This window comes from Homo sapiens, chromosome 20, assembly GCF_000001405.40.
Source record: "Homo sapiens chromosome 20, GRCh38.p14 Primary Assembly".
NCBI classification, from domain to species: domain Eukaryota; kingdom Metazoa; phylum Chordata; class Mammalia; order Primates; family Hominidae; genus Homo; species Homo sapiens.
In genome coordinates, this window is record NC_000020.11 from 64,279,242 (window position 1) to 64,303,362 (window position 24,121).

Here is a 24,121-nt window from a genome sequence, read left to right on the forward strand (position 1 = left end):
AGTCTGGAATGAGGGTGTTGGCAGGGCCGGCCCTAGGGAGGCATCTGTTCCAGGGCCTTTCTCCAGCTTCTGGTAGTTTCTTTGCTTGTGACAGCAAAGCTCCAGTCTTCACAAACCTTCTTCCCTGTGCGTGTTTCTGTGTCCACATTCCCCTTTTGATAAGGACATAATCATCATGAATGAAGCATGGCCCTAATGACTTCCGAACTTCATCATTTGCAAAGACCCTATTTCCATATAATGCCATACTTGTAGGTACTGGGTGTTAGGGCTTCAACATATGAATTGTTAGGGATGGAACTCAACCTATAACCTTGTCCCTGCCTCTGCCAGTGATCTCCACATTCCTGCTGGCCCCAAAGGCACCATGGCCCCTTCCAGGGTGCCCCAGGCAGATCACGGGAGGGCCTGACTGCTGGGGATGGGGCTGGTGCTGGGATCCTCTGCCCAGTGAGGGCTGGGATGAGACTATTATGGGGTTGGGGGTGCTGAAGTTTTGAAGGCAGGGTAAAACAGAGGCTGGGTCCCTCTCTGGACCCCAGGCTCCAGGGAACACCTCTCCTGGGAGTTCCCATGCTCCCTGTGGCCTGGGCAAAAAAAAAAAAAAAAAGTACTTGCAGTCCGAGGCCCCCCAAAGGCAAAAGCCTGGCTCCGATAAGCATCCTCCCCACCCTGTGTGCCTTTCGAGCCCCTGAGGTTTGTGGGGAGTCTCAGAGGTTTTGTGGGGAGCCTCAGACCAGATCCTGGTCAGCAGGGTTGAGGCAGGCCTGAGAATGTATCTTTAGCATCCAGAGATTGGGAGGGTGTGGACGGAAGCAAGGTTCAGGCATCCTCAGCTCTAACTAAGTATCAAATACTAGTGTGAATCCACTTCCTGGAGCTGGCCTCTGGGGAGCCTTGGGTTGGTGTACATAAACAGGGTCTGCCTGATTCATCAGGTTTCTCATGGGGCCTGGACCACCTCATGATCACAAAAGTGACCGCACAGCTTCAATGCCTCTCCTGTGTGGGCTGGACACACGTTCATCTGACTCACAAACTTTCCCTGGGTGGCACCTGGAGCCCTGGCTCTGGGCTGGAACCTGAGTGTGAAGCCACTGGAGGCTGTGGGATTGCAGGTCAGGTGAGTCACTCAGCCACCTGAGCCTGGCCCTCCGCTCTGCACAGGGGACTAGCTATAGATAGCAGGGAGTTCACCTGAGCAAGACACCAGCACACGTTGGTGCTCAGAAAACTCTGATTTCCTTTTATTGAGATGGGACAACCCTTGGAGACCATGTGTCAAGGTCTGGATTACAGTAGGACAAGGTTCAAAGGGCCCTGTGAGCCCTGAGGTGTTGCTGATCCCTGGGTGTCTGTGAAGGCGAGAGAAGGTGACCTGGATCTGGAATGAGGAAACGGCCATGGGTTTAGGAGCTGGCAGACATGTGTCCAGAATGTGGTTGGCCAGGCCTAGACAGCGCTGGGCTGTGGAGGGCCTTGAACCCCAGGCTAAGGGAGCATGTGGGAAGAGGGCTCACCCTGGTGAGGGAATGCTGGGGTGGGATTTTGTTTTTTTATTCAGGTAAAATCCACATAATATAAAATTAACTGTTTTAAGATGTAAAATTCAGTGACATTGTGAACCTGCAAAATATTGTGCAACCATCACCTCTTAGTTCCAAAACCCCAAAAGGAAGCCCCCTACCTATTAAGCAGCTGCTACCCAATGTGCCCTCCCTCCGACCCCCGGCGACCACTAATCTGCTTTCTGTCTCTGTAGATTTACGTATTCTGGATATTCTCCATGAATGGAATCATGAAGTATGTGACCTTTTGTGTTCAGCTTCTTGCTTTTAGCATGTTTTGAGGTTCGTCCACATTGTAATGTCAGTGCCTCAACCCTTTTCACAGCCGAATATTATGCTGTTATAGAAATAGACCATATTTGACTTTCCTGTTCATTTGTTGGTGGACATTTGGGCTGTGTTTTGTTGTTGTTGTTGTTGTTTTTGAGATGGAGTTTTGCTCTTGTCACCTAGGCTGGAGTGCAATGGCGTGCCCTCGGCTCACTGCAACCTCTGCCTCCCAGGTTCAGGTGATTCTCCCGCCTCAGCCTCCCGAGTAGCTGGGATTACAGGCACCTGCCACCACTCCCGGCTAATTTTGGTACTTTTGTAGAGATGGGGTTTCACCATGTTGGCCAGGCTGGTCTTGAACTCCTGACCTCAGGTGGTCCGCCCGCCTCTGCCTCCCAAAGTGCTGGGATTACAGGCATGAGCCACCGCACCCGGCCTGTTTCCAACTTTTTAAAATTGTGAATAACACCGTTATAAACATGTGTATACAAGTTTTTGTTTGAATACCTCTTTTCCATTCTTTTATGTATATATATCTAGGAATGAAGTTGCTGGGTTCTATGGTAATTCTGTTTAGCGTTTTGCAGAACCACCAAACTATTTCCCACAGTGTCTGCACCATATGACATGCCCATCAGCAATGTTCACGTTTCTCTACTTCCTGACACTGCATGTTAGTTTCTGTTTCTTTCTTTTTTTGTAATAACCATTCTAATAGGTATGAAGTGGTATCTTTTTGTAGTTTAGATTTGCATTTCATTTCCCTAATGGTTACTGATGTTGAATATCTTTTCATGTGTTATTTCTGTATCTTCTTTGGAGAAAAGTGTCTTTAATTCTTCTGCCCATTTTGCATGGGAGGTGGGTGGGGGTTGTTTGTCTTTTTGTTCTTGAGTTGTAAGAGTTCTTTGTATATTCCGGATACTAGGCCACTGTCAGATTCTCAGTTCTCAAGCATCCAAAATGATTAACAAAATGACAATTTCTAGGGCTTCTGTGGGAGAGTATGGAAGGTCTTTTTGAACTTTTTAATGCTGTCAACTAAAGAATGATGAGGTTCATAAATATGGAAAGGAGAGATTTCTATATTTTTGTTTATTTTTATTTTTTTGAGACGGAGTTTCACTCTTCTTGCCCAGGCTGGAGTGCAATGGCGTAATCTTGGCTCACTGCAACCTCCACCTCCCAGGTTCAAGTGATTCTCCTGCATCAGCCTCTCGATTAGCTGGGATTACAGACCCTCACCACTATGCCTGGCTAATTTTTGTTTTTTTAGTAGAGATGAGGTTTCACCATGTTGGCCAGTCTGGTCTTGAACGCCTGACCTCAGGTGATCCACCTGCCTCGGCCTCCCAAAGTGCTGGGATTATAGGCACTGCACCCAGTGAGGTATTTATTTCCTGTAAAGGGTTGCAGCCTGCAGGGTAGTCCTTCTGATAGGCTGGGAAGCATAGCCTCCAGCCAGAAACTAGAAACAAGACACTTCAAGGAAGAGGTGAAGGAAACAGTAATTTATGCTGAGTGGCATGGCCAAATACACATCTTTAATAAGCTCTAGGCGGAGTCATGAATATTTATGAAAGGGGAAATGCGTGCATGCACAACTGAGTTCCTTGGTTCTTCATGGGTCCCATGTACAAAAAATAGCAGTGTTAGCATCATCCCAGGGTGGAGTTTTCAGCCCTCTGACATTAAAAGGTGAAGCAGAGGACATGAAAACTCGCTCTGTGCATCCTCTGTGTGCTGTCCAGAACCTCTCCGTCATGGGTGGTCTCTTATCAGGCAAGAAAGGAGAGGTTGATATCAGTGGTGATTTTGAAAGGGCTGGTTTCTGTTAAATCCTTAGGGAAGAAAGCCTCATCATGGTTTGCAAAGCAGGGGGTATAATGGGGTGTACCTGACTCCCATCATCCCATTCTGGCCAAGCTGAGAACTCAGTTTTGAAAGTTACTCTGGGGTCCCCTCAGCCAAGAGTGGGTCTGTTCAGTCAGCTGGGAGCTTAGGATTTCATTTTCATTTATCAATGCTAATGGGAATGAGCAGTCTATCTTCATGGCAGCTGAATTTGCAAGAAACTTCGTGGATGGGGTTAACGGCAGCTGTATTTTCTGGGCGCTCCATGGATGGGGTTAACGGCAGCTGAATTTGCAAGGAACTCCGTGGATGGGGTTAATGGCAGCTGTATTTTCTGGGAGCTGTGCTTTAATTGGATAAAGTAAGTTCTGGTAAGATTTCTTCCTTCATCTTCGGTATCTCAAATGTTTTCATTTAAATAATCTTTATAATAACTCTTGATGTCTGAGGGGGTTCCCACACAGTCATCTATTGTAAGACTTTCTGATTCCTTTTTTTCCTTTGGTCATTATGAATAGGGCTTCTGTACATAATTGCATGGTAGCTTTTGTTTGGAAATCACATCAAAGTGGTTGTCAAAATACTTAGGAATGTCGTTTTTGGATTGTAAGGAGAGACTTATTTAGCTTTGGAAAAAACTGCCCAACTTGTAATAGGTGAGGAAAAATAATTTTCTCTCTATCTTTTCAGAATTCTTAGATTGGACCCTCTGTAACAAATGACAGATTAAAATGAGAAAAATGTAGAAAAGTTTAAAAACATGTATACCTTATGGATACATGGGCGATACTCAGGGAAAAATGAGTAAATCTCCAGCAGGTGGTTTTCAATTCAAGTGTAAATACTATCTTCAACTTGAAGATTTGAGGCACAGTAGTGGGGAGTTAACCAGCAAAACCACATTAGACAAGAGTAACGTTTGTTATGCAGACTGAAGTCCATGCGTCCTCCATTGATAAGACTCTAGTGATTTAGTTATCCTTCTCTTCTTGGTGCCGAGAGAGAGGTAGCTTTTAAATGGGGATTTCCTTTATAGATGTAAATTTTCCTTACAGAAGGGTAACTTCTACTCTGGTTTTGGAACTTCCTTTGTTAGCATTTTTTTTCAAAATAATCATCTTGGAATAATTCTTATGCCAAAGGGACATATTTTGGGGTGGCATATTCTGGTCTTATACACTGTCTTCCACCAGCAATGAAAAGAGTTATTGTCTTTCTTGCAGCAATTTGTGATTTTTTTAGAGTTTAGCAGTTCTAATAGATATAGACCAGCTGTGCTATCTCCTGGTTTTCAGTTCTGTAGTATGTTGAGCATCTTTTTGTATGTTTACTTGCCATCTGTAGATCTTCTTTGGTGAGGTGTCTGTTCAGATCTGTGTGCATTTTTAATTGTGCTGTTTAACTTGTTTAGTTTTAAGAATTTTTTATATATTTTGAATACAAATTCTTTCTCAGATCTGTATTTTGCAAATATTTTCTTCAATATGTGGCTTGTCTTTTTGTTCTCTTAAGAAGGTCTCTTCCAGAGTATAAACTTTAAAGATTAAGAAATCCACATTGTCATTTCTTCTGTGTATATCAACCTTTTGTGTCATTTGTTAAAATTCATTACCAAATCCAAAGGCACATAGCTTTTCTTCTATAGTTTCTTCTAGAAATTGTATAGTTTTGCATTTTTAGTGTAAGGATGATTTTGAGTGGTTATTTGTGCAAGTTGTAAAGTTTTCATCTACATGCATATCACTTCTTATGGTTTCCAATTAATCATTCCCTCACTATTTTTGGAAAGACACAGGATAGTGGGCTCTGTTAGAGTTTATATATAGCTAGACATGAACAGGAGGGGAGCTCCTAGAAAAGGGAAAGTCTGGGAAGGCTCACCTGGAGGGACCACCAAAAATTCACATATTAGTAGCATCTCTAGTGCTGGAGTGCATGGGCACTTGTCAATTGTGAGTAGGAGGGAGAAGAGGTACCTATGCAGAAAGAAACACCCTAGAACTCCTCTTAAGATGCCCCAATCATCATTCACTCTGCAATAAAAATGTCAGAATATTGCTAGCTACATGCTGATAAGAAGGACAAAGGGGACATTCTTAAGAGAAACCTGGCACCATAAGTGCAGATTAGGGCAAAGAAGGACATTCAAAAGAGATAGGCAGGCACACTAGGTACAAACGTGACCGCTGTCAGCCTGCCTGGGATGGCGGGAAGGAGGCTGGTGCCAGAGTGGATTCGGATTGATACCACACATGTACCTCAACCAACAGTGAGGAGGTCCCACAAGCCTAAGTGTGGCAAGTCGGGGACCTAAGGCAGTAGCAGGAAAACCAGACAAAGAGAACAGGTGGAGACTTGAGACAGAGACAGGAATGTGAAGAAGTCCAAAATAAAATTCCCTGCACAGGACTCCTAGGATGTTTTCATGCACGATCAGCCCACTCCTCCCTATTTTTCTACAATGAGCTCTTTACACTGTATTTCTTTTCAATGAAGTTGTCTGCCATTTTTGTACTGCCTCTTGGTGAAAATCTTTCTTCCAAGTTAGACAAGAACTGGGACATCAGCTCTCCCTAGTACTAGCTCCGTTTCAGTTGAATTTACAGAACTGATGGGGCTTAAAAACTGATGCTCTGACTTTAAGTGGTGCAGGAGGCAGCCAGTAGGGGACGCCAACCGTCACACTGGGAGCAAGAGACCCCCGCCTAGTCCCCATCTGCCTGCAGGTGGCGTGCTGCCTCGACACTGCCACCAAGAGGGCCAGGCAGTGTCTCCAGCTGCCAGCAGGCGGCGTACGACGACTACACTGTGAGCAACAGGGCCCTGCAGTGTCCTTAGCTGCCAGCAGGTGTCATATGGGCACCACACCATGAGCAAGAGGACCCCGCAGTGCCCTGGTTGCCAACAGGGGGCGTGCTGCCACTACACTGTGAGCGAGAGGTTCCTGTAGTGCCAGCAGGTGCCAGAAGAGGGCGTGCCCCCACTGCACTGCAAGCAAGAGGGCCCGGCAGTGTCCCCAGCTGCCAGCAGGGGAGCCAGCCGCCACTACACTTTGAGCAAGAGGGCCTGGCAGTGTCCCCAGCTGCCAGCAGGGGGGTGTGCTGCCACCACACTGTGAGCAAGAGGACCCTGCAATGTCCCTAGCTGCCACCAGGCGGCGTGCCGCCGCTATACTGTGAGCAAGAGGCCCCTGCATTGCCCCGGCGCCAGCAGGGGGCGCTGGCCACCACTATAAGCAACAGAGCCCTGCAGCTGCCCTAGTCGCCAGCAGGGGGTGCACTGGCACAGCACCGTGACCAAGCCAGTCCTGTAGTGCCCAGCTGCAAGCAGGGGGCGGTCGAGCCCGGCTTTTCGAATTATTGAGGTTCCTCCCGTCTCTGCGCCACGCCGCTGCGACGGGCGTCTCCGCGCCTGCACCGCGCTCCCCTCCCCAGCACAGGGGCGTGCGACTGTGCTCCTGCACCACGCCACCCCAACCCAACCCCCGCCCGGCAGCGTGCTCTCTGCGCATCCGCCGCGCCTCCCCCGCACGTCGCGCCAGCCTGTGCGCGCCTGCGCCGGCGCGGTGGGCCTCTCTGTGCCCGCGCCGGCGTGGGGTGCCTTTGCGGGGGCAGAGCTGCGTTCTGCTTAACACAGACCCGGGGCACACCGCAAAGGTGGAGCAGCTTTCTCAGCACACACCTTGGGGGCACAGCCTCGCTTTGGGACAACTCGGGGCCGCATCGACAGTGAACAAAATCCTTTCTGTTTGCAGCCCTGAATAATCAGGGTTAGGGTTAGGGTTAGGGGTTAGGGGTTGGGGTTGGGGTTAGGGTTAGGGTTAGGGTTGGGTTAGGGTTAGGGTTAGGGGTTAGGGTTTAGGGTTAGGGTTAGGGTTAGGGTTAGGGTTAGGGTAGGGTCAGGGTCAGGGTCAGGGTCAGGGTCAGGGTTAAGGGTCAGGGTCAGGGTCAGGGTCAGGGTCAGGGGTTAGGGTTAGGGTTAGGGTCAGGGTCAGGGGTTAGGGTCGGGGTCGGGGTCGGGGTCAGGGGTCAGGGGTCAAGGGTCGGGGTCAGGGGTCGGGGTCAGGGTGAGGGTGAGGGTGAGGGTTAGGGGTTAGGGTTAGGGTTAGGGTTACGGTTAGGGTTAGGGTTAGGGTTAGGGTAGGGTTAGGGTTAGGGGTTAGGGGTTAGGGTTAGGGTTAGGGTAAGGGTAAGGGTTAGGATTAGGGGTTAGGGTTAGGGTTAGGGTTAGGGTTAGGGTTAGGGTAGGGTTAGGGTTAGGGTTAGGGTTAGGGGTTAGGGGTTAGGGTTAGGGTTAGGGTAAGGGTAAGGGTTAGGATTAGGGGTTAGGGTTAGGGTTAGGGTTAGGGTTAGGTTAGGGTTAGGGTTAGGATTAGGGGTTAGGGTTAGGGTTAGGGTTAGGGTTAGGGTTAGGGTTAGGGTTAGGGTTTAGGGGTTAGGGTTAGGGTTAGGGTTAGGGTTATTGGTTAGGGTTAGGGTTAGGGTTAGGGGTTAGGGTTAGGAGTTAGGGTTGGGGTTAGGGTTAGGGTTCAGGTTCGGGGTTCGGGTTGGGGTTGGGTTTGGGGTTATGGTTAGGGTTAGGTTTTGGGGTTAGGGTTAGGGTTTGGAGTTAGGGGTTAGGGTTAGTGGTTAGCGTTAGGGTTAGGGTAGGGGTTAGGGGTTAGGCTTAGTGGTTAGGGTTAGGGTTAGGCTTAGGGTTAGATTACAATTTCTAACCTGTTTTATTTTGTTTTTTTTCTGAGACAGGGTCTCCCTCTTTTGTCCAAGGCTGGAGTGTGGTAGTGCTATCACAGCTGACTGCAGCCTCAACCTTCCAGGCTGAAGCGATCCTCCCATCTCAATCTCCTACGTGGCTGACACTACAGGTGCTTGCCACTATGCCCAACTAACATTTGGAATTTTCGTATACGTGGATTCTAGAGGGGTGACAGCGAAACGTGAGTAAGCATGGATTTTGGTATATGCAGAGATGGAGGGCTGGAACTAATTCTGTATACTGAGGGACGACGACTGTATATGTTTTTACAATTACGCTGTAGGATACATACTGTTGCATAGCCTTGAAAATAATAATTTTTAATTGAGTGGAATAAGAATAATATTGATAAAAGTAGCAGCTGGCCAGGTGTGGTGGCTCACACTGGTAATCGCAACACTTTGGGAGGCTGAGGCAGGAGGATGGCTTGAGGCCAAGAGTTTGCGATAGGCCTTGGAAACAAAGGGAGTCACCATCCCTACAGAAAAATACATGAATTAGCCTAGTGTGGTGGCATGTTCCTGTAGTCCCAGCTACTTGGGAGGCTGAGGTGGGAGGATCACTTGAGCCCAGGGAGGCTGAGACTGCAGTGAGTCATGATCAGGCCTCTGCACTCCAGCCTGGGTGACAGAGTGAGACCCTGTCTCTAAACAACAAAAAAGTAGCAGCTAACATCAACTGACCTTTTACTGAGTGCCTATGGATACCATAGTTTAATTTCTTATAACTGTTTCTTATTTTACTTACCAACTCTGTCTTCAGTTACTCCCAGATTTTTACTGTGTGTGTACAGATGACCTTTTGGAGGAGCCTCAACAGGCACAGCTCCTCCCTCATAGTGGCCCATTTAGGCCCAACTCATGACTGTCGGGCTATTTCCAGGCCTAGTGTCTGCCTCGTGGCTGACTGTTGAAGCCCAAAACTTCCTCAAATCAGCCTTTTGCCCAACTTCTGTCTACTGTCGGACTCTACAGGCCAGCCTCTGCCTCACAGTGGACCCTCCAGACCCAGATGGTGTCTCACTGTGGCATCCTCAGGCGAAGCTCCTGCCTTTTGGCAGCCTCTCCAGGCCCAGCTCCTCCTGCCTCCCAGTGGCCTCTTTCGGCCCAGCCCAGCTCATGGCTCTCGGCGGCCTTCCCAGGCCCCGCTTTTGACTTTTGGCAGCCTCTTCAGGCGCAGAACTTGATCTCCAGTCGGCCTTTGCAGGCCCGGCCTCCTGCCTCTCGAAGGCCTGCACGGGCCTGGCCTCGGCCTTGGCCTCACAGCGGACTCTCCACGCCCAGCTAGCTCTCGCCTCACTGTGGCCTCCCCAGTCCAAAGCTCCTGCCTTTCGGCCACTTCGGCAGGTCCAGCTCCTGCCTGCCAGTGGCCTCTTTAGGCCCAGCTCATTCCTCACGTCGGCCATTCCAGGCCCCGTTTTTCCCTTCCGGCAGCCTCTTGGCCTCTAATTTGTTTATCTTTTGTGTATAAATCCCAAAATATTGAATTTTGGAATATTTCCACCATTATATATTTTGGTAGGTAATTTATTTGGAGTGAGTTTCTGCACCATGCCCGAATTTTTTATTTTATTTTCCTTATTATTTGGTGTTAAACAGGTTTAATGACGGTCATGGCAACTTTTTGGCACAATGAAAAATATCGCCCATGATCAACGTGTTCTGTTCTGGGGAAGGGGGCAAAGGCAGGGTGAATCACTTTCTTAAAAAGTATAGCTCAAGTTGGGAGTGCAGAGGGAATGGGGAGAAAACCCTCCCGCTGCCTGTGTCGAAGTGCAGGAGCCCCCACCCCCATACTCACCTGAGTCCAGCCCCTCTGGGGAAAGAAGGGGTGCATGAACTCCCCCTAGTCCACAGGCGCCTCCCTGTGGCCCAAGGCCCTCTTCACACTCCATCTTGTAGCCCCAGCAGGAGCTATTTTCCGAAAAGTGAAAAGCTCTGAAGGTCCCACAATTCATGGTATGTACAGGGGCTCGGAGGAGGGAAACTGCCCAGCTTTCCCCCGGCACAGCTGCAGGGGTAGGGGGTATAGATAAGAGGAGCAGGCCTTGGCCAGGCGTGGTGGCTCACGCCTGTAATCCCAGCACTTTGGGAGGGGGAGGCAGGCAGATCACGACGTCAGGAGATCGAAATCAGCCTGGCCAAGATGATGAAGCCCCGTCTGTACTAAAAATACAAAAATTAGCCGGACGTGGTAGCGTCCACCTGTAATCCTAGCTACCCGGAAGGCTGAGGCAGGAGAATGGCGTGAACCCGGCGGGAAGAGGTTGCAGTGAGCCAAGATCGCACCACTGCACTCCAGCCTGGGCGACAGAGCAAGACTCGGTCTCAAAAAAAAAAAAAAAAAAAAAAAGAGGAAGGCCTTACTCTGTCCCAAACTGAAAGGATTAAATGGCTTCACCTGGGAGAAGATAACCATCCTGCCCTCCATTGCTACCCCCACATACTGTCCATGTTCTCAGGGGGTACTGTGAGTCCTGGGATCTTTGGGGTTGCCCACCTGCCTGTGGTAGTTATGGAGACCCCCAGGTGTTGAGGCAGGGCTGGGGTGTCCCCTTCCAACCAGGCTGTCAAGGCCCCAACTCTGGGGCAGAGGCAGTGGCAGGGCAGCCAGGGTTGCGCCAGAGCCTGAGCAGGTTGAGGTGGGGTCAGGCAGGGCTGGGAGTCAGGGCAGGGGCAGCAGCAGTGGACCCGCTATGCACACATCTTCTTCTCCAAGGTTTGTGTGCAGAACATCCTGCCCATGCTGACCCAGGAGCTTCAGTTGGCACCTGCCCCAGTCCAGCCTCTGGGAACCATGCAGCAGCTCCCAGCGGCCCTGCACCCACCACCAGCATCCGTTTCACCTGCAGTTGAAGATCCGTGAGGTGCCCAGAAGATCATGCAGTCATCAGTCCCACGGAGCAGCCCGCGAGGCTGAGGCTCCTCCCACTGGACCGCCCCCCAACTGGCACCACTGCTGCCCCTGCCCCTACTCTCAGCCTCACGTGACTCTCGGGCAGAGGCAGTGGTGGGGCAGCCAGGGCAGCGTCAAGAGTCTGAGCCAGGTGAGGTGCGGTCAGGACCCCCACAGGGCTGGGAGTCAGGGCAGGGGCAGAACAAACCTTGGAGGGGAAGATGTGTGCATAGTGGGCCTGGAGGGCGGCTGTGGCCTAGTGGACAGGAAGAAGCAGTGGGCCTGGAAGAGCTGCATGATCAGGGCCGGCACTGGTCCAGGGCACGTGCAGTGAAGAGGACAGCTCCTTCTCGGTCTCCGGTTCCCTGAGCCTGTCCTCGGCTTCTCCACCTGTACAGGCAAAGGGGAAGCTGTCCGCATCACACATGGCACACTTGGGGGTGTTGGGCTTTGGACTGCAGCTGGAACATCTTCTCATCTTGCATTTGGGCGCGGTGGGGTCCTCCAGTGTGGGATCCATGTCCGTGGGGTTCCCTCTGCCCCGACCCCGAAAGCCCAGTCAGTTTCTCTTCAGGCTCTGCTCCCCGGGTGGCTCAGCCCAGCTCCTGCCTAGGAAAGCCTTAGTGTTGGGAGGGACCCTGATGACTGAGGAGCCTGGTAGCTCCAGGTCGCCCACACTTTCAGGTCTCTTGCACCAGAAGGTGGCAGGATCCATTGGGAGGAAACAGGCCACCTTGGAAGGTGTCCCTGGGCCCCCATCCCCAGGGGTTGAGGCCGTAGGGGGCCCGCTCTGCTGCGTTGACCAGACTCCTGGGCTTTGAAGGCTCCTGGGCCCAGTAAGAAGGAGGTGGGTGCCAAGGTTGAGGAGGAAGCATCCGAGTATGTGTAGGAGGAGGACAGGGTGTGACCATAGACTGCCAAAAGCTGCAGGTGGATCGGGGGACCCTGGGGGCTCAGGATCCAGCAAGGGGCGGCAGGAGTAAAGGAGGAAGGAATGACAGGTGCAAATACCTTCCCACCAAAGCCCTTGTTGCCCTCTGGCTCCTCCCCAGAGCTGTCCCCACTCTCAGTCGGTCACCCACTCCTTGAACTTGAGATCGGTGTCGGTGGTGCTAAAGCCATCATCAGCAATGACATCATCACCCCCTCCTCCTCATGGATGACCGTGTGCTCCTCGTCACTCGCTATGTCCTCACTGGCCATGTGCTGGGAATGAGCAGCTCACGTGGGCGGCAGCAGGGCTGCCCACGGGTCACCTCCCTCACCAGGGGCTGCAAAGTGGCCTGGAGCTCCATGCTGAGTAGAAGGCTTTGGGCCAGAGTATGATGCAGTGCCAGACACCACCTGTGTCAGTTCCCGTAGTGCCTGACGGTCTATTTCCCTGCCGTCCAGGCTGTGTACCCCGCTGTGGGAGAAGGCTTGGGCCAGGCTGAGCCAGGTTCCCTGACTGTGTGCAGCCGTTCTGCCCCACAGAAGCTGCTCCTTGGCATCCGAGCTCTGGAGTGTTTGGGCTGCAACTGACAGGAGTTCAGAGGACGCCCCAGGGGCAGTGGCAGTGCCCGTCTCTGATATGCTCCGCTCCCACGAGCCCTTGTTACACTGCTGCTAGCCCCTGGCTTGTGGGCTTGGCCTCTGAGCTGGACTTCTTTCGGTCCTTGTTGCAAGTGGGCCACCTTCACCTGGAAGGCCAGGTCGTATTTCTGCATCTCACTGGGCCCCAGGGTGTACCACCGCTCGCTCAGCATCTGGCTGACGGTCCGGTTATCCTGGTTGGGGTGACCCTGCTGCGCCCCGCCAGGGCCTGGTGCCGCTTGCTGAAGATCATGAGCGCCACTCATGGGCCACCAGATGTGGTCCTTGTCCCATTTGTTGGGGCTGCGTCCATCCTTCTCAGAAGATGAGTCCTGTTCCTTGCGCAGGGCACTGAGGGACTGGGCCTGACATCATCTGAGTGGTAGAGGCAACTGGGTGTCAGGAGACATGATGGAGAGGAAAGCATCATCATGGTCATTCTCTGTCTCACTGTCCAGCAGGGACTCCCCTGAGGGGCCCAGGGCTCCTCCTCCATGGTGGGAGGTGAGCTTTTACCAGGTTCCACCACCCCCAAAGTGTGTGGGGTTGCGGGCCCTGGGCTTTCAGGGCAGGTGGCTCCAGGGGGCCGCCCAGGGTCAACACTCCCTGTCCCACCTGGTGGACGCTCATGAGCAACAGCTGGCAACTTGGCAGGTTGTTTTCTCTGGTTGCAGGCCACTGAGTGACTGGCAGGTTGCTGGGCCTCGTGTGGCTGCAGGGAGGGGTCAGGAAGGGGATGGAGTACCAGGGGAACACAGCCGCAGAGTGACCTTCCACATTCCTCCACACGAACATGCTGACGCCACGGGAGGCCTCACTGAACGCAGGCCTGGGGGCCGAGTACTTGGTCCGGGCAGGGGGTTCCTGGCAGGGGCTCACACCTCCTCGCCCCCTCCTCAGCCAAGGTGGCTTGGGCCCAGAGAAGGGGAGGTTGGAGAGGAGCAGAAGGCCAGGCCTCAAGTTTTGTTTTTTTTGTTTGTTTTGTTTTTTGTTTTTGAAATGTAGTTTGACTCTTGTCACCCAGGCTGGAGTGCAGTGGCACGATCTCAGTGGCCTTCATACCTGTCTAATTTTTTGTATTTTTACTGGAGGTGGGGTTTTGCCATGTTGGCCAGGCTGGTCTTGACCTCCCGACCTCAGGTGATCCACCCACCTCAGCCTCCCAAAATGGGATTACAGGCATGAGCCACCGCTCCCAACTTCATTCCTTTTTACTTGAAAAACTCCGTTAAGCATTTTTTTAAGGTAGACCTAGTGGTCCTGAATGCCCTCAGCTTTGTTTGTCGAGGAAACACGTTATTTCTTTTTTCTTTCTGAAGGACAGCTTTGTCAGACATAGTATTAGTTGCTGGCAGTTTTTTTCTTTCAGCACTTTGAATGTATTATTGGATTCTGTCCTGACCTGCAAAGTTTCTTTAACTTTTGACTATTTGATTATATTGTGACTTGGTGAGTATCTATTTGGTTTGAACCTCTTTAGGAATCTTTAAGCTTCATGGATTTAGATGTCTAAATCTTTCCCATGATTTAGGCAGTTTTCAGCCATTCTTTAAATAAGCTTTCTTCTCCTTTCTCTACTTTCCTTCTCAAACTCCCATAACCTGACAATGGTTTGCCTAATGGTGTCTTGTTGGCTTTCTTTTCTCTGTCTCTTTTTTTTTTTTTTTTTTTTTTTTGAGACAGAGTCATGCTCTGTCACCCAGGCTGGAGTGCAATGTGTGGTCTCGGCTCACATTGCACTCCAACCTCCGCCTCCTGGGTTCAAGCGATTCTCCTGCCTCAGCCTCCCAAGTAGCTGGGACTACAGGTGTGTGCCACCACACCCGGCTAATTTTTGTATTTTTAGTAGAGATGGGGTTTTGTCATGTTGGCCAGGCTGGTCTTGAACTTCTGACCTCTTAATCTGCCTGCCTCGGCCTCCCAAAGTGTTGGGATTACAGGCTTGAGCCACCACGCCCAGCCTTCTTTTCTCTTTTTTATTCTTTTTTTCTTTGTCCTCTGACTGGATAATTTCAGAAGATCTATATTCAAGTTTACAGATTCTCTCTCCTGTTGAAGTTTACTATTGTGTTATATCACCCAGTCTGGTCTTGAACTCCTGGGCTCAAGCGATCCTCCCACCTTGGCCTCCCAAAGTGCTGAGTTTACAAGCATGAGCCACTGCATCCAGTCAGTCCCAGCACTTTGGGAAGCTGAGGTGGGAGGATCACTTGAGCTCAGGAGTTTGAGACCAGCCTGGGCAACATACTGAGAACTTGTCTGTATATTAAAAAAAAAAAAAAGTCTTTGGGAGGCCAAAGCGGGAGGATCACCTGAGGTCAGGAGTTCGAGACCAGCCTGGCCAACATGGCAAAACCGCATCTCTACTAAAAATACAAAAATTAGCCAGGTGTGGTGGCACACACCTGTAGTGGTGGTGCATGCCTGTAGTCCCAGCTACTCAAGAGGCTGAGGCAGGAGAATCACTTGAACTGGGAGATGGAGGTTGCAGCGAGCTGAGATTGCACCAGTGCACTCCAGCCTGGGCAACAGAGTGAGACTCCATCTTATAAAAGGAAAAAAGAAAGAAAAGAAAAATTCCATATCTGAGTGTTTACTCCTGAGTTTTTGAGATTGTTATTAAGATCGTGCTCTACTGTGATGATTTGGGTTTGTTTGATAATCAGAAAAAAGCATATTCTTTTGGGTGTTTAGCCACACTGCTTTGGTGTCACAACTGCACATTGGTTTCACAGCTGCAGGACAAATTCGAGCATCTTAAAATGATTCAACAGGAGGAGATAAGGAAGCTCGAGGAAGAGAAAAAACAACTGGAAGGAGAAATCATAGATTTTTATAAAATGAAAGCTGCCTCTGAAGCACTGCAGACTCAGCTGAGCACTGATACAAAGAAAGACAAACATCGTAAGAAGCAATAGTTTCTCTTACTATTCTGAGAGCCTTATCATTCTACATCCCATCTTCCTGTGAGATTGTCTTTGTAGCATTTAACTCTAATTGCAGTTCTCTTTTTAAAAATTGGCTTGCTTATTGTATATTTTCCCCAACTAAAGCGTGAACTCCTAGCAGGGCGTGGTGGCTCATGCCTGTAATCTCAGCACTGTGGGAGGCCGAGGTGGGTCGACTACCTGAGGTCAGGAGTTCGAGACCAGCCTGACCAAGATGATGAAACGCTATCTCTACTAAAAATACAAAAATTAGCTAGGCGTGGTGGCTGGGACCTGTAATCCCAGCTACTTGGGAGGCTGAGGCAGGAGAATCACTTGAACCCTGGAGGTGGAGGTTGCAGTGAGCCGAGATCTCACCATTACACTCCAGCCTGGGTGACAAGAGCAAAACTCCATCTCAAAAAAAAAAAAAAAAAAAAAAGGTGAACTTGAAGGCAGGTCCTGTGTCCATCTTTTCAGATTCTGTATCCCAGCACTTAGGACATAGACAAACAAGAAGATGACAATCAATATTTGCCAAAATGAAAAAACAAAAGAAACATGTAACATCATGTAAAAGAAGCTGGTTAGGTGGAGAAATTTATTTACCATAGTCTTGCTTGTGGATCCAGTAGTGACTTTTACATTTTATATCTAAATAGACGCTGGAGGCTTTGTTGGGTACTCATAGGCATAAAATATTATGTTATTTATTATAGAGTTAAATGCTACAAAGACAAATCTAATTAATAGGCCTATTTTCCTGTTTAAGTTCTACTCATAATTTCTTCATAATTTTTATGATAAAAGGTTGGATTTTGATTAGAACTCCCATGCTTTTGTGTCAGAATTAAAACTGGTATTAGAATAAATAATTCAAAAGCTAGAGAAAGAGTACAATGAGAAGCCATGAGTTGCATTTGAATTATAATATTATGTCTTACAGATTTGGGGTATATGCTAAAGTTACCAAAGTTGTAGAAAATAAGGCCGGGCATTGTGGCTCACATCTGTAATTCCAGCACTTTGGGAGGCCGAGGTAGATGGATCATTTGAGGTCAGGAGTTCGAGACCAGCCTGGCCAACATGGTGAAACTCCGTCTGTACTAATAGTACAAAAATTAGCCAGGCGTGATGGTGTGCACCTGTAGTCCTTGCTACTCAGAAAGCTGAGGCAGGAGAATCGCTTGTACCCAGGAGGCAGAGGTTGCAGTGAGCAGAGATTGTGCCACTGCACTCCAGCCTGGGTGACAGAGTGCTATGAGTCACCACACCTGGTATGAGCCACCGTGCCTGGCCCACAATGACTTTTACACATGTTGTTAAACCATCTTACAGATTTTATAATTTGGGGGAAGAAAAGTTTTACTAAATGGTCTTTTAATGGAAACTCTACAAGAACCAGAATCTTTGCTTTGTTCACTTATGTATCCATTCCTAGGCCTAGAAAAATGCCTGACACATAGCGGCAATTATTCATTGAATAAATGGACCCAGCGATAGTACATTAGCTATGCTATATGCATACATTAAAGATGTAGATTATCGACTTTCAAAAGATAATTAATGTAACTTCTTACTGCTTCTGAACATGTTTGTGAGTTATATTGCTGAGGGACCTTTATCTTCTCATTCTTTCATCTTAACCCAGTGTTATAAAATTGAAATCACCAATATTATTCCATATCTAAAATTAATATCTACCTTGTAAAAAATATCACTCTGCTGCATTTGACAATAGACTTTTTAGGTAATAATGATGCAATCCATAGGGTTTTTTGGGGGCACAGAGGGATTCATGCTAACAGAACATTTTATTTTCTATTTTCCCAGAGCTGTAAAACATGAAATTACGGTAGTATAAGGCATATTTTTACTCTTTTTATAATTTTTTCTAAAAAAAATTAGTGTTTGTTCCCTATATAACTTTTAACTTTATAGGTAAATATTTGTCTCTTTCAGCTCCAGTTTTATGTGAAATAGAGTTTTCAGATGTATGTAGCATGGAAAGTTTTAATACGTCAGAGTTACTGATTTTTGCCATTTTCTCAATTATTTCTTTTTTATCTTTAGTTGATTTTTTTGTAGTGACACATTTTGTTTCTAGTCTCATTTCCTTTTGTTTATATTCTATGTATATTTCGTTTTTGGTTACTATGAGAATTACATATAACATCCTAGATTTATAACATTTTAATTTGAATTTATTTCAACTTAAGTTCAATCACATACCAAAATTCTACTGCTATACATATAGCTCTACTCTTTTTATGTTATTGATGTAACAAATTATATCTTTATTCATTGTATACCAGCTAACAGATTTACAATTACATTTTACGCATTTGCCTTTTAAATTATGTAGAAAATAAAAAGCAGAGTTAGAAACCAAATTACAATAGGACTGTTTTTATGTTTGTTTATGTATTTACCTTTACCGGAGAGCTTTGTATATTCATACAGCTTGCTTATTTACTTATATAGTTATTGCCTAGAGTTCATTTATTTCAACCTGAAGGACTTAACACCTCTTGAATGGCAAATTCAGGAATAAACGGATTTTTTTTCAGTTTTAAAAAAAAATCCGGAAATGTCTTAATTTCTCCCTCATTTTTGAAGGATAAGTTTTCCAGCTATAGATTTCTCAATTGACAGGTTTCTTAATTATTTTAAATATATAATCCACTGCCTACTGGCCTTCAAGCTTTCTGCCGAGAAATCAGCTGCTAATGTTATCTGGATCCCTATCTGTGAGAGTTGCTCTTCTCTCTGAGTTTTCAACATTCTCCCATTATCTTTTGTTTGTTTGTTTTTGAGACAAATAATTGTACATATTCATGGGATACAGAGTGATATTTTGATACATGTATACAATGTCCAATGATCAAATAAGGATAATTAGCATATCCATCACCTCAAATATTTGTCATTTATTTGTATTGTGAACAGTCAACATTCTTTCTTCCAGTTTTTTAAATTTATAAACATTTAAATTTTATTACAGAAATTTAAATTTTTTGATTCTGAAAAAGTTATATACATATGCAACATCGTTTTATCATTTATTTATATATTTATGCATCTTTCCTTTTAGTTTTGACAGAGATTTTCTATTTAATCATTATTTCAAAAGAACTCTTACCTGTATTTATTTATCAATTATATTTCCCTTGTTTTTTCCTAGTATATTAATTTATTTACTTATCTTCTAAAAATCCTCCATATAATCTGTTTGTTTCCTTTCTATAATTTCTTCAATAATTAGTTCTGTTCTATTTTCCATTAAAATATTTAAATCTTGTATGAATTTTTATCAGATTAGAAATTTAGGGCGTTTCTTAATTTCTCTATACTCTAGCTTTTGACTTTTTTTTTTCTGACCTAAGAGGTATTTAGAGCACATTTTAGATTTTTTATTTTGACTAATCATTTAAAATGTATACTAATCTTCAATTTAAATAAAAAACTGGTCTATAGTGACAAAAATTACAAATGAGCCTAACTAATAAATTATCAGCTGTGTTTATATGTATAGGCATGCACAGATTTTGGTAAATATGTACATAGTATATTGGTGAGCTTATTTTTGTCGTTCTTAACTCATTGTGTAGTCTAAACGTTGGGGAAAAAATAAAATACAATAATCAGATGGCGTGAATAAGAAAATTGTTCTAATGTTTGTAAACCAAGCAACGGTTTTAACTGCTCCCCTCTTCCTGATTGACTTCCAAAAGGGATTAATCCATATTAGGTCCTGTCGTATATGTCACGGTATAACATCTCCAGCTATAAAATGGAAATTTGAGAATAACTTTGCTGCTACTCAGATACATTTTATTTCAAAAACATACACTAAGGTGTTGCTGTTGGATCTTTCCAAAAACATATTCACACAGAACTTTCAATCACACTGAGCCATATTTGAACAATCTTTCAAGGTCAGCTCTGGCATAAGCTAACATTATACCATTTAACTCAGAAATTTCTGTAGTATTTGATTAATGGGTTTATGTTTGATATGTAATGTAATTTTCTAATGCTAAATCAAGTGGTAATTTTGTTAGTCAAGTTGATTTAGTGGCTTGGGAAGAAAGCTTTTAATGTTCCCCTAATTTTTCTTACCTTTGACATGATCCTTCACATGTCTTATTTTGCTTAGTGATTTTTCTTTTTTTTTTTTTTTTGAGACAGGGTCTTACTCTACCACCCAGGCTTGAGTGCAGTGGTGCGATCACAGCTCATTGCAGCCTTGACCTCCCAGACTCAAGCTATTCTTCCACCTCAGCCTCCCAAGTAGCTGGTACTACAGGCACATGCCGCCAAACTTGGCTAATTTTTGTATTTTTTGTAGAGACAGAGTTTTGCCAAATTTTCAGGCTGGTCTGGAATTTCTGGGCTCAAGTAATCCTGCCTTGGCCTCCCAACATGCTGATATTACAGACATAAGCCACAGTACCCGGCCAGTTTTCTTTTTTTAAAAATCTATTGGTTATTAATTTGAAGCCTTCCTTTTCATAGCTGTGCTCCTTAATTGGGAGCAAACATGAATGGACCACAACTTAGCCAATTTTCTATATACGATCTTTGCCATCCTAATTTAAAGGAATATTAATTCTTTCTTTTCCTCTTTCATTCCACAAACCTGTATTGACTACATCTAAGTTCTAAATGGTGCACTGGATGTTGAAAAAGTTGATGATGAGCAAGAACAAAATTCCACCTTTCAGGAGACTTACAGTTCAATATGGGAAATATAATTTGTTAAAATATAAAAGTGCAATTGTGTTACATGCTGTACGAAGTACATGTTGACATGTGAGCATATAATAAATGGGCTGGAGGCCAGAGGATTGCCAAAGAGAATGGGCCTCCTGCTGAGATGAAAAGTTGAGCAGGGATTAGTTGGCGAAAGTGGAGGGACGACCCTTTCTAGGCAGGAGGAAGAACATGTACAGAATCTCTGAGGTGTGATGCGACAAAGTCTATATGAAAAACTGAAGAAAGGTCTAATGTGGCTTAAATACAGAAGCCAGTAGGAGAGGAGTCGAAAAGAGGCTGGAGAAGTAGAAAGTGTCTGCATTCTGCAGGAACTTATATTGTATAAAAAGAATTTCTCTTTATTCTAAGTGCAATGTGAAGCCAATGAAGTGCCTTAAACAGGTGATGTGATTTGATTGAATTTATTACTTCACTTAACAAATATTCATTACATGCCCACTGTTTGTCAGATATTGCTGTAGCCCCTGGTGATACAGTAGGGAATAAAACAGGCAAAAATCCCTGTCCTCTTGCAGCTTATAATGGACTGCAATGTTTAATATGTCAGAGGAGGTCCACGGAGGAGTGACTTCTAAGCAAGAATCTGAAAAAAATGAGGATATCTAAGGAGGGAACAAATGGTTCAAAAGCCCTATAATTGCAAGCAGGCATGATGAAGCAATTGCAGTTGTCCTGACTCTCAACACCGTGGAACTCAAAGGAGATGGAAAGATTCTTTCTCTCCCTCATATATTTTCTCTCTGTCTATATATATAGAATATGAGACATTTCCCTAATCATTATGTGTAATTACAATTACATATATATATATATGTATGTAATATATAAACATATATATGTAATTGTAATTACACATAATGATTAGGGAAATGTCTCATATTCTACTCAAAAATAAGCAATATAGCAATTACTGTTTTTTACATTTTACAGTTACAGTTTCAGAGAAAGTTTGATATTTATCTAAAATTTTTCAATGTATGAACTTTTTCATTTGGCAAACCATAATTGTACATATTCTTGGGATACAGAGTGATATTTCTTTACATGTATAGAATGTGTAGTGATCAAATCAGGGTAATTTCCACTAATTTAAAATGCCACCTTTATGTTATTGTAATTTATATATATACTATATATATACACACACACATATATATATACATGTCCACATACAGTGTGTGTGTGCACATGTACACACATGCATATGTGTATATAATGCCCAGTATAAGCAATGTGCGCAAATAAAATTAGCTAACAGAGATAGTATAGAGTGAGAGGAGAGGCAGATTAATCTTTGAGGAAAAGCACAATTTTATGGCTGAATGGAGAAAGCTGAGGTGGTTTCTAAGATGGAGAATAAGATGAAAAATGTAAGTACGTTGTTTGACTGAATTCAAGAAAGAAGGGTAAAAGAGAAGAAAGTAGTGGTCTTATCATTAAATGCCACAGAGAGGTAAAGATAAAAACAACATATTGTTTTGGGTTTAGTAATTTAAGGGTTACCAAATTCCGTTTTGGAGGAGGAACAGATTCCATGTCCACTAGAATGGAATGAACAAGAAATGGAGGAGGAAAATAGGTAGTTTTTCAAAAGTTTTCAAAAATATGAAAAGAAGAAATGAAATGGTACTTGGAAGAGATTGTTGAAATGGGAGAGACTATGGTGGCTTGTTTAGAAGCAGTTGAGATAGATCCAATTGAGATAGAGATATTGACTATATAAACAAAAGAATGACAAATTAATAGTGTAATGGATAACTTGACTTTGGCAAATATTGTGAATTTTTGTGAAAGTACAACTAAAAGGCAATGTCACTCCAATAATCACCAGAGTAATCAATTTGCTTATTGCTGTCCCTTTAAATATAGTTCTCTGGTATCAACTAACATGTTTTTAACTAATGATGCTTCTTAAAGAAAAGGGAAAAGACCTTTTTCTTTCTTTCAGTCTTCAATGATTCACTGCTTCATCTCGCTCCACCAAAGATAAATGAAATCTACATCTCTTATACATTAACAATGCATGACAATTTATAAATAGCTAAATTTTTGGAGCTAACTTGAAGTACCTGAATGGAATTTAATCAACCCACTAATCTCCTTCTCACTTCTCAGTTATTTATCAAGTTTATGTCAAGGGACAAGGAAAAATTATCCAAACATTGTTTAAAACAATCATCATTAATTAGTAACACTTATCCAGGGGGGTTTTTAACCTTTCCCCCACTCAAGGATTATTCTAATGTCAGAGTAGAATAAAAAATAAGTGCAGCGATGCTGACTCTTCCAAGCTTAACATTTCTCACAAGTCAATTAGCTTTGTACTGGGAGGAGGGCGTGAAGGGCTGCTTGCGGTAGTTGTGTAGCAGCAGCACAATGGCCGCAGACAAGGAAAACAGTTTCTAGGAATTCCTCGTATATAATTTTATATTTTTGACAAGATTAATGACCCATGCTCCCTTCCTCTCCATTTCTTTTTTTGGAATTCTGTTGGTATGTAGTTACTATATTTTATTAAAGGAAATTAGCCTTATCTCTTATTATATTTTATTAAAGAAAATTATTATTCCTTTATATTTTTATTAAAGGATTTTATTATTATTATTAAAGGAAATTAGCCTTATCTCTTATTATATTTTTATGACCTTCAAAGTAGTGTCTCTGCTTAAAAGTGTACCTTGGCCGGGCGTGGTGGCTCACACCTGTAATTCCAGCACTTTGGGAGGCCGAGGCGGGTGGATCACGAGGTCAGGAGATCAAGACCATCCTGGCTAACACGATAAAACCCCGTCTGTACTAAAAATACAAAAAATTAGCAGGGCATAGTGGCGGGCGCCTGTAGTCCCAGCTACTCGGGAGGCTCAGGCAGGAGAATGGCGTGAACCCGGGAGGCGGAGCTTGCGGTGAGCTGAGATCGCACCGCTGCACTCCAGCCTGGGCGACAGAGCAAGACTCCGTCTCAAAAAAAAAAAAAAAAGTGTACCCTGAAGCACACATCAAGCGACATGTAGAGTTCATAAATTCTGGCCAAATGGTCATACCTCAAACCTCATCAGCACTAAGGCTCTTTACTTGCACTGACAAATGTGAACGCTGGGGAATTTGGAAATGATATATAATAGATATATAATATATAATAGATATATAATATTATATATGTAATAGATATACAATATATAATATATATATAATAGATATATATTATATATAATAGATATATAATATTATATATATAATAGATATATAATATATAACTTTCCATGTGATTTTCCTCTTAATTTTTTTCTAGCTGATCCATATGAATTCCTCTTATTAAGAAAAATAAAGCATCCAGGATTCAATGAAGAACTATCACCTTGTTAATCATTCAGAAACATATTGCAGACTTAAGCCATTTTTGATACAGATACTGAAACAATTACTTTCTAAGAGCAAACTTGAAGGTATGGATAAGGCCCTGAGTCATCTTCCTGAGCTGAATGATAGTTAAGCTGAATGTAC

At 45.0% G+C, this 24,121-nt stretch overlaps 2 pseudogenes across 1 annotated transcript, besides 3 other annotated features; one reads left to right on the forward strand and one right to left on the reverse strand.

The window, feature by feature from the left end:
* Positions 6,914-7,106: a silencer, noted in NCBI's record as "fragment chr20:62917508-62917700 (GRCh37/hg19 assembly coordinates)". NCBI's record gives its function as "represses an EF-1alpha promoter that drives an FKBP-Casp9 reporter gene in an ReSE screen in K562 erythroleukemia cells {active_cell/tissue: K562}" and the evidence as "EXISTENCE:reporter gene assay evidence [ECO:0000049][PMID:32094911]".
* SEPTIN14P20 (septin 14 pseudogene 20) lies at positions 11,144-24,113 on the forward strand (annotated as a pseudogene). Its single transcript, NR_040415.1, has 3 exons — positions 11,144-11,493; positions 15,650-15,818; positions 23,910-24,113. The product of NR_040415.1 is annotated as a septin 14 pseudogene 20 (transcript).
* Positions 11,970-13,799, reverse strand: CICP4 (capicua transcriptional repressor pseudogene 4; annotated as a pseudogene).
* Positions 22,990-23,490: an enhancer, noted in NCBI's record as "H3K4me1 hESC enhancer chr20:62933584-62934084 (GRCh37/hg19 assembly coordinates)". NCBI's record gives its function as "activates a minimal SCP1, AML or CMV promoter by ChIP-STARR-seq in naive H9 embryonic stem cells {active_cell/tissue: H9 hESC(naive)}" and the evidence as "EXISTENCE:reporter gene assay evidence [ECO:0000049][PMID:30033119]".
* Positions 23,491-23,991: an enhancer, noted in NCBI's record as "H3K4me1 hESC enhancer chr20:62934085-62934585 (GRCh37/hg19 assembly coordinates)". NCBI's record gives its function as "activates a minimal SCP1, AML or CMV promoter by ChIP-STARR-seq in naive H9 embryonic stem cells {active_cell/tissue: H9 hESC(naive)}" and the evidence as "EXISTENCE:reporter gene assay evidence [ECO:0000049][PMID:30033119]".
* Positions 24,114-24,121: the final 8 nt, after the last annotated feature.